The sequence below is a fragment of the Homo sapiens genome, chromosome 16 (assembly GCF_000001405.40).
Source record: "Homo sapiens chromosome 16, GRCh38.p14 Primary Assembly".
Taxonomy (NCBI): domain Eukaryota; kingdom Metazoa; phylum Chordata; class Mammalia; order Primates; family Hominidae; genus Homo; species Homo sapiens.
This window is the reverse complement of record NC_000016.10, coordinates 78,362,988-78,380,498: the sequence shown is the minus strand read 5'-3', so window position 1 is coordinate 78,380,498 and position 17,511 is coordinate 78,362,988. Positions and strand designations below refer to the sequence as shown.

The 17,511-nt window shown below is 40.5% G+C and overlaps 1 protein-coding gene across 2 annotated transcripts in view, besides 1 other annotated feature; it reads right to left on the bottom strand.

Annotated features, from left to right (window-relative positions):
• The window catches only part of WWOX (WW domain containing oxidoreductase), a 1,113,014-nt gene that overhangs the window by 832,169 nt on the left and 263,334 nt on the right, over window positions 1-17,511 (bottom strand). The window lies entirely within an intron of this gene.
• Window positions 7,814-8,446: an enhancer, noted in NCBI's record as "OCT4-NANOG hESC enhancer chr16:78405950-78406582 (GRCh37/hg19 assembly coordinates)". NCBI's record gives its function as "activates a minimal SCP1, AML or CMV promoter by ChIP-STARR-seq in primed H9 embryonic stem cells {active_cell/tissue: H9 hESC(primed)}" and the evidence as "EXISTENCE:reporter gene assay evidence [ECO:0000049][PMID:30033119]".

Below are 17,511 nucleotides of genomic sequence, written 5' to 3'. Positions count from 1 at the left end.
GTCGTCACTGGCCCAATGATAAAAGCCATCTCAAAACAACAACCATTTCAGTCCTTGCCCCACAGCAGTTATTTATCCCTATAGCATCTTCGCAGGGTGCAGTCATTATCCACCTATTTCACAGATGGAGAAGCTGAGGTTCAAAAGGCTCATGCACAGCCGCATCAAGATAATAACTGCAAAGCCATGATTCAGCCCAACGCAAGATTTCAATTGCTATTCCATATTCCATTATGTCCACACTATGTACCTGTCCTCTCATCCCCCAACCCTCCTTGCCCCTTAGAAGCCCTCATGGCAGCTGAGACAAAGACCAAGAAAAACCATCAGATCTGTAACTGCCTCATGCTGTCCTGCTCTTGGTAACCCGGTAGCCCAAGTACACTTCTCCAGTTTCCCTCGGATACAGGGGCACTCATTGGTAGCACAGTTAACAGACACCTTCAATACACCATGTCCCAAATAAGGGAGAAAACATTTACAGGACTAAATTCATGTACTCATTAACACTGCCTCTAAAGATGAATGCGTTTTCCAGATTCAATCTCCGTTTTCTTTTCTCCTCTCCATCCTTCCGACACTTCAAAGGCAACGTCTCATGCCTACATTATGCTTACCAATAATGGGAGGAGAAAAAACATCTCAAGGCAACAGGCCTTTAGAACATAGGACAGGAATAATTCCAGTGATCAAACCTAGTTTTCAAAACCACAAATTATTACTTTACAATCATTGTTAATTGCAGATTGCCTAGGAATTAGCTGGGAGGGTATCAGTGAGTTCGCTCTCCTATCCCATTTCTCGCCATAGTGAACCCAAGTAGTTGGTCTGCTGCCCACATGTTGGGTCTTACGGAGCATGCTTCAAAATACTCCCATCTTGTGCATGTGGGCCTTGCGTTCTCCACTTACCTCCAACAAAAGAATCCCTGGCACAGACTTTTGGCAAATCTAGCAGCACAAAGCAGCAGCTCTTTGTTATGCTGTGTTGGAAGCATCATCACTATGTGGGTGAAATAAAGGAACACGTCGGTACAGTGGCTGGAGGTGGAAGAAGCCCAGGTACACTAGATGGCTGTGTTGAACGTGGCCTCCATTGTATCTGGAGGAAATTCTCTTTTAACTGGGGGACTACTCATGTGCAACTGCAGAGAGAAGGGTTGCTGTTTACAGGGAATTAGCTATTTTGTGATCTCACTTCAAGGTACCCATTGATGCTGATTGGATGGCAGTGTATCTACCCCTCCCTTACACATACGGAAAAACTTATTTCCAGAATCTCATTTAAAAAGCTCTAATTTGCATGTATTTATTGATCATAAAAGCAACAAAAATAATAAGCACTGATGACATGCTTGTTTTCATTTAATAGTGATAGCAAATATCTTCTGAAGCATCTATAATTTTCCCCATTTTACAGATGAGAAAACAGAGGCTGAGTGACGTGACAGTGGCCAAGCTAGTAAGACACAGATACGTGTTGCCAACTGAGATGTGGCTGGTTCCAATGCTCATGTCGTCACATGACTGCCACACTGGGCTGTTCCCCTGTCGTCATATTCTTGAAGACGTAACACCGGGAAGCTCTGAAGAAATTAACATCATCTATATATTCTTATTTGTGTCTGTTTTATATCATATTTATTTTACCCAGTTAGAATTTACAAGAGAAGTGTTACCGCTGAAGGAGAAAATGTAAGCACGGCAATAATCTACACTCAGAGCTTATTGCTAATGGCATCCTGCAAATTCTAATCCAATGGGCCTTAATTGCATTATGCTGATGTCTCTCACCCTTCCGCTTTACATACTCTCAGTCCTGATTTTATGTTCTAAAACCTTAAATAGGAGCTGTCACATTTACAACAGCAAGAGACACTGGCGTTGAGCACAGTATTGACATGACATTATTCACTGAACTACAATAGAAATCTAACTCAACTGGTTTAATAATTCATCAATATCATATGTGGGACTTCATAACACTAATTCCTCTAATATTATTTAAGTAATGGTAACGGTGGCAATGGGTGATCGCATCTTCACTGGAAAATGCATGGGGACACAGTTGCTTTCATTGACTAGTGATTCTTTTCTCTCTTAGTCAAACCTGAAACAGCACCATGTGCCAGTCTGATGGGGAGTTTGACCCATCTTTGCCAAGCCTAAAGATGAAAAGTATGCCCTCATAAATGTTCTTTCTGATAGGATTCGCAGGAAAGGGGAGTTTGAGAGTCTCTTCACTGACTTGACACATTTTATCACTTTGCTTTTAATAAACAAACACTTTTGGAGATGATTCCACATTTTAAAACACAGAACCACACCAAAAATGATCCCTAGCAAAGCCCTGGATTTCCTTTTTTTTAGGCAGGGGGCAGGGCGGGGGGACGCAGGGGGATTCTTGAAGAACAGAGGCTGAGTTTGCCATTCCTAACCTTCAAATCAACCATCCAGCATCAACCTTCACTCCAGGGCCCTCCATCAGGTCCCCTTCCTACCTCCCCCTGCCAAAATACACAAACATCCCTAATAAGAAAATGATGACAACTCTTCCTTCATTACATACAGGCCAAAATTTTTGCCTTGTGTTGCTGGAACTCAATTTATAAAATAACCGTGTCAATATCTATAGGTAATTCTAAGTCTATTCAAGGAGAAATTGCACCAGATAACAGCTTATTTAATTTAGTATATGAGTTGCGTGCCATGGAAAGCAAAACTATTAAAAATGCTTAGACAGTAATTGGCAATATTTTGCAATCCGGATAAAAAATGCTTATCCTGCCAGAAACTAATAAGAGAGCGAAAATAATCCAAAACCTTCCTATTTCCCTCTATGCAATATATTCACTTTGCAGCTTAAAAACAGTTTAAGGAAGGACAGTGAATGACACAGGAGGTTGGCAGTCAACATGATTGTGCATTTATGCCTTGCTATTGAAGTAAGAGCTTTTTTTCATAGTGAATTTTTCATTCTAATGTAAGTGATGATTTACGTTAACTATAGGTAAAGCGTGGTTACATTTTCCTGAAGGATTGCAGGCAAGTAAAGAGGAGTACAATAAGTTGAAGCGTAAAAGCTTTCTCTGTCATAATATTTATTATAATGGCATATAAAATAGCTGAAATAAATAATAGATGACTAAAGGTAAATTCATATGATAAAGAATCCTTCAGCAGACACCATTACTTTTGACTGCTCTAGTTTTATACACAGTTGAAGACTCTTAATAAACATGCCCTATATCTTATGCAAGTACTGCATACATCAAAGATCTGCTTAAAAGGCAACGTACTGGACATCAGCTAATTTACTGCATAATTACATTCTCAACAGCAACAGTCTGTATATTCTGAATATTTAATAGCTGTGTTCTTAATGAAACTTGTTAAGCACTGGAACTTCCCACTTCGGGGAAGTCAGTGATAAAAGAAAAATCAGTGCCCCACCTCCTCGATTCAGAAAGACGTGTAGCTCCAAACACAGAGATCTGGGATCTGGTGATTGCCGCAAGTCGCAAGTCAATAGTGGTTAAATTCAATAAAAAGACAAAAACAAGATTTGTCTGTTCTGGTTCAAAGGATTTTACATTCCACACGGTGGACTTGGGAAATCGGAATGATCCTCAAATGGAGGGAGATGGTCTCAGTTCCAGCTGTTGGGAGGGAGAGAACTATACCCTGATAGCCCAGTGTGAGCAGAGTCTGCTCTGATTCTCAACCAGAGGCCATTCTAACTGCTAGCAGACATCTGCTAATGTCTACAGACATTTCTGCTTGTTGCAACTTGTTGGAAAGTGAACTGGCATCCAGGGGGCAGAGGTCAGGGATGCTACTCAATATCTTACAACGAACAGAACAGCCCCCATAACAAAGGATTATCTGGCCTCAATAGTCCCGAGGATGCCTGCGTGTGGTTTGTCATAGGCACTTCGGTTCACCCCAAGTGGTCATCAGCTATTTATACTTACTGTTAGTTGCAAAAATAAAACTGGTTCATTGTATTACAAATAATACAGAAGTTGATAACATATAAAGTGAAAACGTGCCCCAAAGTCCTACTGCCCCAAGATAAGAACAGGGACAGCCTGGTTCAAATCCTTCCAGAGTATATTTTCTACCCATGTAAAAACATCGTGCAACTTTTCCTAAAAACATAGTATTGTAGTTCCACTAAAGAATGTTCAATCATTCATTAAAAACCGCCCCCACATACTTCACTAGCTTTGTGAACTTTTTACTTACATTCTCTAAGCGTGAGCTTCCTTATCAGTAAAAACAGAAATTACAGAACAATCTCTTCCTTGAAGTTACTGTGAAAATTCCTGGGTAGTATCTACGAGAAGCGGCTGGGCGTGGTGGCTCATGCCTGTAATCCCAGCACTTTGGGAGGCTGAAGCGGGTGGATCACTTGAGGTCAGGAGTTCGAGAACAGCCTGGCCATGATGGTGAAACCCCATCTCTACAAAAATACAAAAATTAGCCAGGCATGGTGACATGCGCTGGTAGTCCCCGCTAATTGGAAGGCTGAGGCAGAAGAACCACTTGAAACCAGGATGCGGAGTTGCAGTGAGCCAACATCATGCCACTGCACTCGAGCCTGGGCAACAGAGCAAGACTCCGTCAAAAAAAAAAAAAAAAAAATCCTATACATGTTACTCATTGTTTCTCCGGTAATATTATTTTATGTTGTTTCCAATTTTGTTTTGTTTTGTTTTGTTGGCCACTGAAAGCAATGCTGCAATACAAATACTTAGGAAACTATAATTTTTTTCTTTAAGATGAATTCCTGGAAGTAGACTCACTAGGTCAAGAGATACCCACATTTTAAATTTTGATAGCTTTTTACTGAGGGTCCTCCAAAAAGGTTATACCAATTTCCATTCCCAAGAAGCCTACGGAGACTATGAAAGAAAAGCAAAACAACCAATAATTCACACTGACATTTATCGTAAATTAAAAAGTACAGTTTCATATCTGTGTCTCTAATACCTGATGCACAGTCAATAGCACTGAGCACGTTTTCAGGACAGGCTTTAATTTAGAAAATGAATGATTGACTGTTTAACATACCATCAAATATGGGGAAAAGCCATTAAATAGAAATGCAAGTAGGCTACTCATAGTGGCAGCAACAACTTACCATAAGCCATTTGGAAACTCAGGCATTTCTCCTGGTTCTTCAGGCTGTTTGGCTGAATGCCGGCCTCTCGGAAGTTGGCCACACTGCGTGTGACGGATATGTGCTTGGTATGCAGAATATGCAGTAAACGTGTAACAGTATCGTCACGCTTGAGAAATGACGACGACGGTTATTTTTACTTTACAGATGAATCGAAAGAGATAAATCTTTCAGAGGATCTCCAGAAGCAAAGGAGGATGTTTAATAGATAAACTGGAAAATATTTTTAAATGTGCTTCGGAAAAAAATAAGGTTTCCTGCTTAAAATGGTATCTGCCTCGCAGTGGTTTATGGGTTCCCACCATAATACCAGTAAAGACAGAAAATGTAGACAGGCGCAGTGGCTCACGCCTGTTATCCCAGCACTTTGGGAGGCCGAGGTAGGCAGATCACCTAAGGTCAACAGTTTGAGACCAGGCTGGCCAACCTGGTGAAAACCCGTCTCTACTAAAAATGCAAAAACAGGGCCGGGTGCGGAGACTCGTGCCTGTAATCTTAGCACTTTGGGAGGCCGAGGCAGACGGACCACAAGGTCAGGAGATCAAGACCATCCTGGCTAACACGGTGAAACCCCATCTCTACTAATAATACAAAAAAAATTAGCCAGGCCTGGTGGCGGGCACCTGTAGTTCCAGCTACTCGGGAGGCTGAGGCAGGAGAATGGCATGAACCGAGGAGGCGGAGCTTGCAGTGAGCCAAGATCGCGCCACTGCACTCCAGCCTGGGCGACAGACAGAAACTCTGCCTTAAAAAAAAAAAAAAAAAAAAAAAAAAAAAAAAAAAAAAATTCAAGACAGAAAAAGTTGAGGACTCAAAACACCATAAACACAAAAAGAGTCATCAGTTTAGCCAAATTTTGTGCGTCATTTGGAGTAGCTACAGGACCAAATAAATTATACTGAAAATGAATTTAAGAAGCAACTAAAACAACACTAACAAGTGAAGTTTGTTTTATGGGGGGAAGGATTTCACTGATCCATTAAATCATGCATGGTCTGGCTTTGTTGATTAGAATGATAGACATTAAATAACTTGATACTCTAAGAAAAAATTTAAACATGTACGTAAGACTTTCAAGACTAACAGGGAGAGAGGAAAACAGAGAAAGACAGAAAGGAAGAAAGGGAGGAAAGAATCATTAGCTTCCAAATGAGCAACAGGGAGAAAAAATGATGTATGGAGTAACTCAGATAAAAAGAAATTCTATCAATTCCAAAATATGCCTGGTGGCCAGGCATAATGGCTCACGCCTATAATCCCCACACTGTGGGAGGCCAAGGCGGGCAGACCACTTGAGGTCAGGAGTTCAAGACCAGCCTGGCCAACATGGTGAAATTCCATCTCTACTAAAAATACAAAAATTGGCCGGGCCTGGTGGCACACGTATTTAATGCAGCTACTTGGGAGGCTGAGGTGGGAGGATTGCTTGAACTCAGGAGGCAGAGTTTGCAGTGAGCCGAGATCAAGCCACTGCATTCCAGCCTGGGTGACACTGAGACTCTGTCTCAAAAAATATACATATATATGCTCAGAAAAGTTTAAAAATAAGAAAAACTTGGTAGTGAAGAAAACACAATGAAATACAGAAATTATTTCAAATTTATCAGTCATCAAAAGAAACATGAACTTAAATTCACACATTGAAAGGCAGAAACCAAGACTAGAATTAAAAAAAAAAAATAGTTCTATGCTGTTTAAAAAAGATACACTGCAGATAGAACTAGCTGTCCCTCAGAATACTTCTCCTCTTTCCACAGCATAGGAAAAAGAGGTTGACTAGACAGAAAGCCACATTTCCTAACCCACACTGCATTGAGGTGAGATATTTACATTTCCACTAATGGTCACTGAGCAGAAGAGAATGTAACTCCTGGGCTATTTCTCATATGAATTGGGTTCCCCATACTTCAACCTTCCATGAGATAAACGTTAAGTTATAATAAGTTCCTAGGGGACAATACAGCCACTAAATGAAATGAGCTTGGATATCCTACTCACCAAATAGACAAAGCCAACTGTCAATCAGAGACACCCATGTGGATCTGTGTCTTTACACTGAAAGACTTTTGGTAAAATTGTGCTCTGCCATAACTCATAAGGTAGATCTAGTACCTATTGAGTCTGAAGCTCTAGGGAAGAGCTAAAATGTCATTGTGTGCTGGCTGCTCCACGCTGCTTTTACAAAGATATTACAAGAAAGAGATGTGTTCCTGAAAAAAAGCATTGTCCAGTGTGCAAGCAGAAATGAAAGTTAGGACATTACAGAGTTGAAAAAGTCAATTGATTCTGGAGTCCAAAAAGCATAAAATAAGCCTGCAAAAGTCTTTGAGAGACAATAGCCCATTATGAATTCAAATAATTCAGCCCAGTAGCATATATCAGATTAATGATGCTACTTTTCAAACCAAGCTCATTATTCCAAATAGCCTCATAGTAGCTGCTACTGTGCTGAAAGAGAGGCATGATGATAACAAATTAGAAAAATAAAGCAACTTGAGATTCAAGTCTAGGAAAGACTGGTGTGGCCACTACTCATGAATTAATGGGAAACAAATACATCTGAATCCTATAAGATTATTAAGAAATTAAATAAAGATTAATCTGACCTTAAAAGCCTATAACTGCTAAAAACAAAAAAACGGAGCCTCAACCATGCACCAGCAGGAAGTGGGCTGACAGCTGCTAATTCCCCTAAGGAGAGTAACCCTTCTCTAGATCCAGTTCAGATGGGACCATGGAGGATAATGGACAGGGCACTTCCCTCCAGAGAGCAGATTTCAGACCTGGATAAAGAATGCTCTCTTACTACAAGGTTCTTTACCTCCCCAGCGTGATTCTATCATTGACTGTCATGGAGCAACATGTTTCTCATTCTTTTCTTTTGAAAATGGAGATTTTGCTACTGATATTCTGTCTCTACTCCACCTTCTATTATATAGAGCAGCAGGGGGGTAGACGGCATGAATGGGCTGCCTTTCTGAAACCCACAGGACCATAAGGAACCATATCTAAGCATGAAGGACACCCTAGAATTTGCACAGAATCAAAGAATTAAATGGGATTTTGAGACTCTGCCTTTGGAAGAAAAGTGAATATGTTCTCTGTGTGAGAATAAGGGAGCAAAAGGTACTTGTTGTCCAGATGTGAGAACTGTAATGGAGACTACCAGCTGTTCACAAAAATCCCTGTGCCTTAGTTTGCAGGGCACTCAACTAGATTCATTGCCCAGTCTCCTTCACAATTAGGCATAGCCGTGAGACTTAGAGTTGGCCAGTGGAATATAAATCTAAGGGAGGTACACTTCTTCAAGGCCTAGTCCATAAAACACTCACATGTCTATTTCCAGCCTCAACTGAGCGCCCAATAAGCACTGTTACATAAGCTGGAAATAAATTACCATTGTGTTAAGCTATTAAAACATCAGAAAATATTTTGTCCTAGCAGCTATCCTTGCCTACCTAACACACATGATTAAAAGAGAGAAATATAAAAATGTTAAAGATAAAAGATAAATGATAAAGATAAAGAAAAACATCAGGAACATTTTGAAAGCAGAATAGCTAGTATAGCAAATATTAACATAAAAATAAAATTTTAGGCAAAATAAAAATAAAAAACACTAAACACTAAAGATAAAAATGGATGATGCATAAAGGGAAAAATAATTAAGCAAGAATATATAACAATCATGAACTTGCATGTGCCAAATAACACAGCCATAAACAAAAAGATGGATTTAACAATCTTAGTAGAAGAGATTAACCATTTATAATAGAAATAAGTAAAAGACAAAATGGAATATTTAGATAAAATGGTCAACAGACCATTAAAAGAGTATAAACCAACTAAAAGAGCTACAGAACACTACACATAAAAATATGGATTCTTTTCATACGTTATTGAAGTTAACCATGAGCCAGATCACAAAGGCAGTTTCAACATACTTCAAATTCCTGCCATCACAAAAAGTACACTTTTTTACTGTGAGGCAGTTAAACTAGAAATTGAAAATAAATGGTTTTCATCTTAAAAAAGTTATATCCATCTGTAGAGAGTCATAGCTAGGAAGTGGATGCACAAGAAAATTTTAGTACAGTGATGTCACCTTCAGCTAAAATTTGCAAAACAATGACATTCATGCTGAGGAACTGTGCGTATCAACTTAACTCATATACTTAAGTAAAATTACCTAGGTATGTCAAAGATCATGTTACACACTCTAATAACGATTAGTTTGAATGCTAATTAAAGGATGAAGAACAGCAAAGAAAAAAGTGAGGATAACAGCAAGAGATAATAAAAGAAAGGACAAACAAGTAAAAAAAAAAAAAAAAGAAATCACAACACAGTCTCAGAGCAACCTGACCTCTAAACGTTCTCTATGTCAGGAAACAAAATTTTTAGAAATGTTGGCCATCTTCCATTTTGTATGCATCTCAATGAAACAGAAATAGAAAACAAAAACAAACAAGAATAGGCTGAGAAAAACTGGAAGGGGGTTAAGAATGCATTGCCCCCCCCCCCCCAAAAAAAAAAGAAAAAAAGTTTAAAGTTTAAAAGTTTATAGAGAAACTAAAACTCACATTGGCAGATGGTGAAGACCAGAATTGATCCCAAGAAAAATAATCAGTTATAAGGAATGGAAACTTAGATGTTTCTCCCAGAATATGGAGAAAGACAAAAGATAGACACAATAAGAAGATTAAAAAATAAATAAGACAGAATCCATAATTATATCCTAATAATTACAGGCATACTTTAAGAACAGAACAGAAGAATAGAAACATTTAAAATGACATAAAAAAATCAAAAAAAAAAACATCGTAGATACCCCCAGCATACGTCTCTCATATATTTCTCTCCTTTTTCCCTTTCCCAATGTAAACGGTATTTTGAATTTGATATTTATCCAATGAATAATATTAATGATGGCCAATTCTTACACAGTACTTACTATGTACTGAACTCTGCTCTAAGAACACTTACATATGAATTTACCCATTTAACAACTCTCTGAGGTAAGTGGTAATATCATCCCATCTTGCTAAGGAGCAAACTGAAGCAGAGATTAGCTAACTTGCCCCAGATTGTAAAGAGAGTTTACAATCTTTGCTTTTGGAGCAAAGATATGCACCCAGATTGTCTGGCATCTAGATCCATGCCCTTTTTTTTTTTTTTTTTTTTGGAGACAGTCTTGCTCTGTCTCCCAGGATAGAGAGCAGTGGTGTGATCTTGGCTGGCTGCAAGCTCCAGCTCCCAAGCTGAAGCGATTCTGATGCTTCAGCCTCCCAGGTAGCTGGGATTACAGACATGCACCAGGACACCTGGCTATTTTTGTAGTTTTAGTAGAGATGGGGTTTCACCATGTTGGCCAGGCTGGTCTCAAACTCCTGGCCTTATGTGATCCTCCCGCCTCGGCCTCCCAAAGTGCTGGGATTACAGGCATGAGCCATTGTGCGTGCCCTTATGGTTTCCATTACAGCACTGTGCTGCCTCTATCATTCCTATATGATAGGCCATCACCATACACATTACTATACACAACTGTATCCACAAGCAACGTATTTGTTGGATTTTAACAATTGGGTTTAATTGGATTTCTGATGGTGTTTATTAATCCTCCCACCGAGAGAGACCTTTCTGGAGAAATTGGTCCCACAATAGGATGGATAACAGTATGTAATGAAAATGTTTGCCTCTTTGAGTTTTGCCCAGACATTAATGAGAAATCAGTCCAGCCCCTCAATACTGTGGCAGGTGCACTTGTGTGGCCAGCGCAGGCCGAGTGAGCTGCCCCTCCTTGGTTGCATGTTGTGCCTGAGGAGACTCGACCCTACCAGTTGCTGCATACCCCTTCATTCTTAAACTCTTTATTTTGGTTCTTCTCTTTATAATCTGGAATAAGTCTTCCACTAACTTAGTCAAGAAAGCTAAATGGAAAGCATTTCCTGAGTCTTTTTTTTTCCACGTTTTTTTCTCTTGCTTCACACTTAAAAGATACCCCTGAGTATGAAATATGTGAGTTTCAGTGTTTTCACTGCAATATTCTTCACTATCTTTTGGAACTTACTGTGACAGAGGAGAAATCTGACATCACTGTGTAAACTCAGAATAATGTCTAGCACACAGTAAGCCCTGAGCATACATTAGCTATGATGCTCCTAATTTTCCACATTAATGAGTTTTCCTTTAATGTGTACATCACAAGTTCAATGAGAAAACAAACTCTAAAGAAGAATAGTTAAAAAAAAAAGGGAAAGAAAAAGGATAGAGGAAGGAAGAGTTGAGAGAGGAAGGAAGGGGATTAGATAAGAAGGGGAGATGGGGAGACTGAGAAATGCAGAGAAAGGCAGACAGGAAGTCTATGAGGAGCAGTAGAGAGCAACTGACAGTCGCACACAGACACAGAGCAGTGGTGGGATGTACCATTCTGTCAGTGCACACGTGCAGCCTGCTGGTTTGGGCACCGGCACAGGGCCACATTCGAATCTGGCTCTGTAGTCACCTATCCCATGGCCCAATGGGACAAATGAATCGCGATGGGTAATTTTGCTAAAAGCCAGCTAAGTTGCAGACTGCACGTGTTGCAAAGAGCAACCCAGGCAGCATTAGAGGGGGGAGGGGAAGGGAGGGGACACCACCTTACAAATGTCCATTAGAAGCCACTTCACGATGGCATGCATGTTAATACACCCTGGCCTCAGTGCAAGCTCTCCCTGCCTCTTCAATATTTATGAACAGCAGCTTCCTTTTTCTCCTTGGTTTGAGGATATAGATGTTCTCTATGGGAAGAGCTTCTAGCGCTTGCAGCCTTATGGGGTGGCCCAGAGCTTTTACCACATTGAAAAGAGGCCTTACTACATTTGGTACATCAGGAAAACCAAAGGACAGCAGTGACTTTATGAGTCCACACTCCTTTCTGGGATATCAGGTCTACAAAGCATCCCCCAGAAGGGCATGTGGGGAAATTGTGGCTAAGGGCCATATGTTCCAGTTAACTTAAGTATCACCTGTCATCACTCATATAGGACCTACAACTTTCTCCTCCATATAAATTTAGAAAATCCATTCCACTCATGTTAATTGAAGGCTTTTGAGAACATAACCTCTGTTCACAGAAGGGGAGATTACAGACATGGCCTTATTCTACGCTACTGAGCCCTTACAAAGTTGACATAATTACTTCTAGTTTATAAACACAACAAAGGCAGAAAAAGCAGCGAAATCTGCTCAAAAATCATAATGAGAAGCTGGCAGAAGCCGGGCACAGAGGCTCACACCTGTAATCCCAGCACTTTGGGAGGCTGAGGCAGGCAGATCACCTAAGATCAGGAGTTTGACACCAGCCTGACCAACATGGTGAAATCCCGTCTCCACTAAAAATACAAAAATTAGCGGGGTGTGGTGTCACGCACCTGTAATCACAGCTACTCAGGAGGCTGAGACAGAAGAATAGCTTGAACTCGGGAGGCAGAGGTTGCAGTGAGCTGAGATTGCACCACTGCACTCCAGCCTGGTGACAGAGCGAGACTCCATCTCGAAACAAAAAGAAAAAAAAAAAAGAGGTTGGCCCAAATGGGATGGTAGTTCTCCGTCCATTGTGACAAGTCAATTCTCCTTCCAAAACAGTACTGCTGTCTCCATGACACAACCTTCTCCCCAGCCTGGAAATTATCCCTGAGCCCAGGAGATTACAAAGGGGCCACATCCGTAAATACTTTACTTACAAAAATGTTGTTCTGTCCATGAACTCGAAGCCTTTTACACCTTTTTTCTGTTTTATTCCCAGGGTGTCCAATCTTTTGGCTTCCCTGGGTGACACTGGACAAAGAATTATCTTGGGCTGTGCATAAAATATTAATACACTAACCCTAATGATAGCTGATGAGTTGAAAAAAAAATGGCAAAAAATATCTCATCATGTTTTAAGCAAGTTTATACATTTGTGTTGGGCTGCAAAGCTGTCCTGGGCCACATGTGCCCACAGGCTGCAGGTTGAACAAATTTGATTTAGACCATTAAAATTATAACTTTTCGGCTGGGTGCGGTGGCTCACGCCTGTAATCCCAGCACTTTGGGAGGGCGAGGCAGTTGAATCACGAGGTCAGGAGATTGAGACCAAAGTGGCTAACATGGTGAAACCCTGTCTCTACTAAAAATATAAAAAATTAGCCGGGCGTGGTGGCAGGCACCTGTAGTACCAGCTACTTAGGAGGCTGAGGCAGGAGAATGGCGTAAACCTGGGAGGCAGAGCTTGCTGTGAGCTGAAATCACACCACTGCACTCCAGCCTGGGCAACAGAGCAAGACTACGTCTTAAAAAAAAAAAAAAAAAAAAAAAAAAAATGTAACTTTTGTGATACAAAAAAAAAACCCCAGCTAATTTCAACTTCTCTCCTACATCCACCCCCCAGGCTTTGGATTAAGCAAGTTTGAAAACTGAGTCACGTATGATAGGAACAGTTTCTATATGTGTAGAAAGAAAATACTAATCCAACCACCTGCTCATTTTGTCTTAACATACTTTTCTTTCCAAATGACCACGAATCCTCTAGAACAGAGATTGGAAAACCTTTTCTCTAAAGGGCCAGATAGTAAGCATTTTAGATTTTTCAAGTATCTCCCAAATACTCAGCTTTAATAGCATGAAAGCAAAAGTGGCAACAGACGAGATATAAATTAACTGGTATTCCTCTGTTCCAGTAAAACTTTAATTACAAAGCCAGGTGCTGGGCAGGAATTCTGTCTGAAGGGCACAGTTAGTTGACCACTATTTTAGAATAAGAGTGTAGTCCCCTGAAGTCTAACAGTCTTATAATTAATACTACATTCAGGTTCCAATGAATGCAGGAGAAGAAAGGAGAATGTCATGCCATTCCTTAGAGTGTCTGTTGTTTTATCACCCACTATTTGATGAAATATACAATAAAAAAACAGCCTAACAGTCTCAAACAACGTGAAGAGTTAAGGATGTGTGGATAGGCATAGGAGGGAGCATATCTAAACACTTTGCCTTGTAAAATGTGTCTTCTATTAAATAATCTAAAAGTTTAACAGTATTTCACTTCGTACATAACAGCGTTAAATGTTTTCTATCATTCCACAAGTCTTCTTGAACATGAAAGCTTTTTGAAATGCATTTTGGCATCTCTAGGAATTTACCAAAAATGGTCAGTAAATTGAAATAGGGGTTTCTAGACATTTCCCAAGTATGCTAATACCTGGGCATTTAGGGTGCTAAGAACAGACATTTTCCAATGGGCCGAAAGATGTATTCCCTGATTAACCAGTGATACTTTCCTGAATCTAGGAAAAGAAGCTTCAAATCACAAGCCCCATCTTGGCCACCTGGCACATGGGCATAATACTTCTGTCCAGTTCATATGCATTTATACTTCAGAAACCCAAACCAAAACAACAATAACAAAATAATGTTTCTGTAAGGAAAGGAGAACTATACACTTTCCTCTTTACTGGAGAAAAGAGAGTTGCAAATGAAGACACAGAAATTTGGTGGGGGGAGCCATAGAGGAGGGGCACGCAGAAGCACACACAAAAAACAAAAGAACAAAAAACAAGAAATAAGGAGATTGCTTACAGAAAAGTTACTAATGAGGCTATTTCTTCCACATCTGGCAATCTGTTCCTAATCTAAACGACAGCAGTAGATACAAGGTGGTAGGCAGTCTATAGAGCCACTTCATAATGTGGAAAGAATTACAAGCAACACTATGATTCAGGGAATTCCAGAATCCTACTGGGGACAGCACATATGGACCTTCCAGCAGGAATCTGAATCTTTTTGTCATTATTGAAGTCATGTTCATTGTTGCCCAGATTCAGTTGCAAGCCTTGTTGGGAACCACAGTTTATTGGTGGGATGCTCTGTGTGCCAAGAACCCTAGCAAGCACCTGATTTAGACGGATGTAAATATTTCTCAATAAACAGAACCCACTATCCAGCAAGTAAAAAAGAAAAACAAAACAAAAACATAACCAACAGCTGGCTCACGGCATTAGCTTCCTCCAGCGGTTTCACTTCCATGGATGCGTTGGAGACAATCACACTGATAATGTCAGAAGGTGACACAGACCCACCAGTTACTCTTGGCAGGCACTAAACTGGGCACTTTGCATTAACATTTATTTCTTCCCTCAACCTCAGCATCTTCAAGAAGTAGGTATTAGCATCTTCATTTTGCAAGTGAAGAAATGGAAATCACATAACTTAAGCTCATAAACTAGTTGGAGAAAGAATTTGAACCCAAGTCTAACCGGCCCCAAAGAATTACCCACAGCTCAACCCATAGTACACAGAAAATACTATGACTTCAGCTGTGACTATCACAGACAGAAGAAAGGTTGGGGACCAGGAACATCTTTGTAAAGAATGAAATTCCAGGTACCTAGACAGAATGGGATAAAGACAAGAAAAATCAGAAAAAGGCCAAAACGACTGCATGTAGGAAAAAGCACAGAAAACACCTTGTTCCCTCCTGCTCTCCCACGATCTGTAATCAGATGCTACACTGTTCCCTGGAAGTGCAGACATACACAGGGTAGCACATTAATCCTTCAAACACTAACAGATGCTGGCAGGGATTTAGACTGGAATGTATTTACAAAGTGACAAATTATGTTCTGTATTATAGAGAAAGAGCACCCACAAACAGGCTGATAAATGTCAGCTGCAGTCACGACAAACAGTTTATTTTTATTATACTGTAACCACAAATTTTTTTTTTCTTTCCCATTTTTTTTTCTTCCGGAGTCCCAAAGATTTATTTGTTGCAGGGAGAAAACAAAATTATATATGACACAAAGTAATAACTGTAAGATCAGATATTCCGGGCACCCTGCCCTCCTGGAAAAGCTACATGCAGGCTCAACAGTACTACTAAAAATGCTGCCTTCTCCAAAGCCAAGTAAATGGTTAATAAATCAGAACCGATACAATGCCTTGTAATTAGATACAGCCTTAGTTCAGAGACCAACCAATTGATAGACAATATCCAATTCCCCCTTTAGTGGCTATCAGGAGAGTAGAGTAACTATTAAAATAAATTTAATGGCTGTGACAGGTAAGAAAATATACCAGAAGCTAAAATGTAATCAGTATATCCAAACCCAAAATAAAATTATAGTCTTTGCTGCAAACAGGGTCGCTGGAAAGGAGGGTTACGGATAGAGAGCGACATCCACAGGCCAGGAAGGGCAAGGTCACTAGCTCTGAAGGAACCTTCAACCTTGAAAACAAGACTGAGTGGGGGGATGTGGCACGGGGCCAAGAGAAAATGTAAGCATTTATTAAATTGTTTTGAAGAATTCCTCTTGCCCACTTGGTCAGTCGGATGTCAGCAAGAGTGACAGGCATTCTTCCGGAAGCATCACAACAAGATGGCGGAGAGACGGCCTGGGGTCTCCATGCTGGGCTTCCCATCCAGGCCCTGCCTCGAACTCTGCACATGACCTCGGGCAAGTTCCTGCTCTCCAACCTCATCCTACAGGACCTCACTGTCTCCGCTGTAAGCTGGAGGGGTTTGAGCTCATGATGTTGCTAACATCTACTCCAGAGTCCCATTTCTTGTTTCTAACAGGTTGAGGGTTGGCAAATATAGGAAGGTTAATAGAAGAACCTGAATGGTGGTGGTCAAGTATATTTAGAAGAAAGGGGAATATCTTACCTTCTGGGACTCTCAGATGTGGATTTCTTATGAAATCATTCTGAGTTAAAACTGGCCTGGGACAGTGGCTCACACCTGTATTCCCAGCACTTTGGGAGGCCAAGCTGGGAAGATCAGTTGAGCCCAGGAGTTCAAGGACAGCCTGGGAAACACAGCAAGACACTGTCACTACAAAATTTTTTTTTAAATAATCAGCTGGAAGTGGTGGTGTGCACCTGTGGTCCCAGCTACTTTGGGGTCTGAGAAAGGAAAATCACTGGAGCTTGGGAGTTTGGGGCTGGAGTGGGCTGTCATCGCGCCACTGCACTGCAGCCTGGGTGACATATTAAGACCCCGTCAAAAAAAAAAGCCCTCAAAAATGCCCCAAACTTGCACATACTCTAAAAGCAACATTTTAAAAATATATGGAATTGACAGGAATACATTTAAAGCCACAATTCACACAGCACGGTGAACACACAGACACATACACACACACACACACAAACACATACACACACAGTGACCACTGGACGGAAAGATGTTTCTTTTTTCCTAATACTGAATAAAAAAGATTTTATGGTGGAATACGGGTGTGGGTACCACTGTCATTAGGGAGCAGAAGGAAAGTCTTCTCCCCTACACATGGAACTGAAGACTTGAAT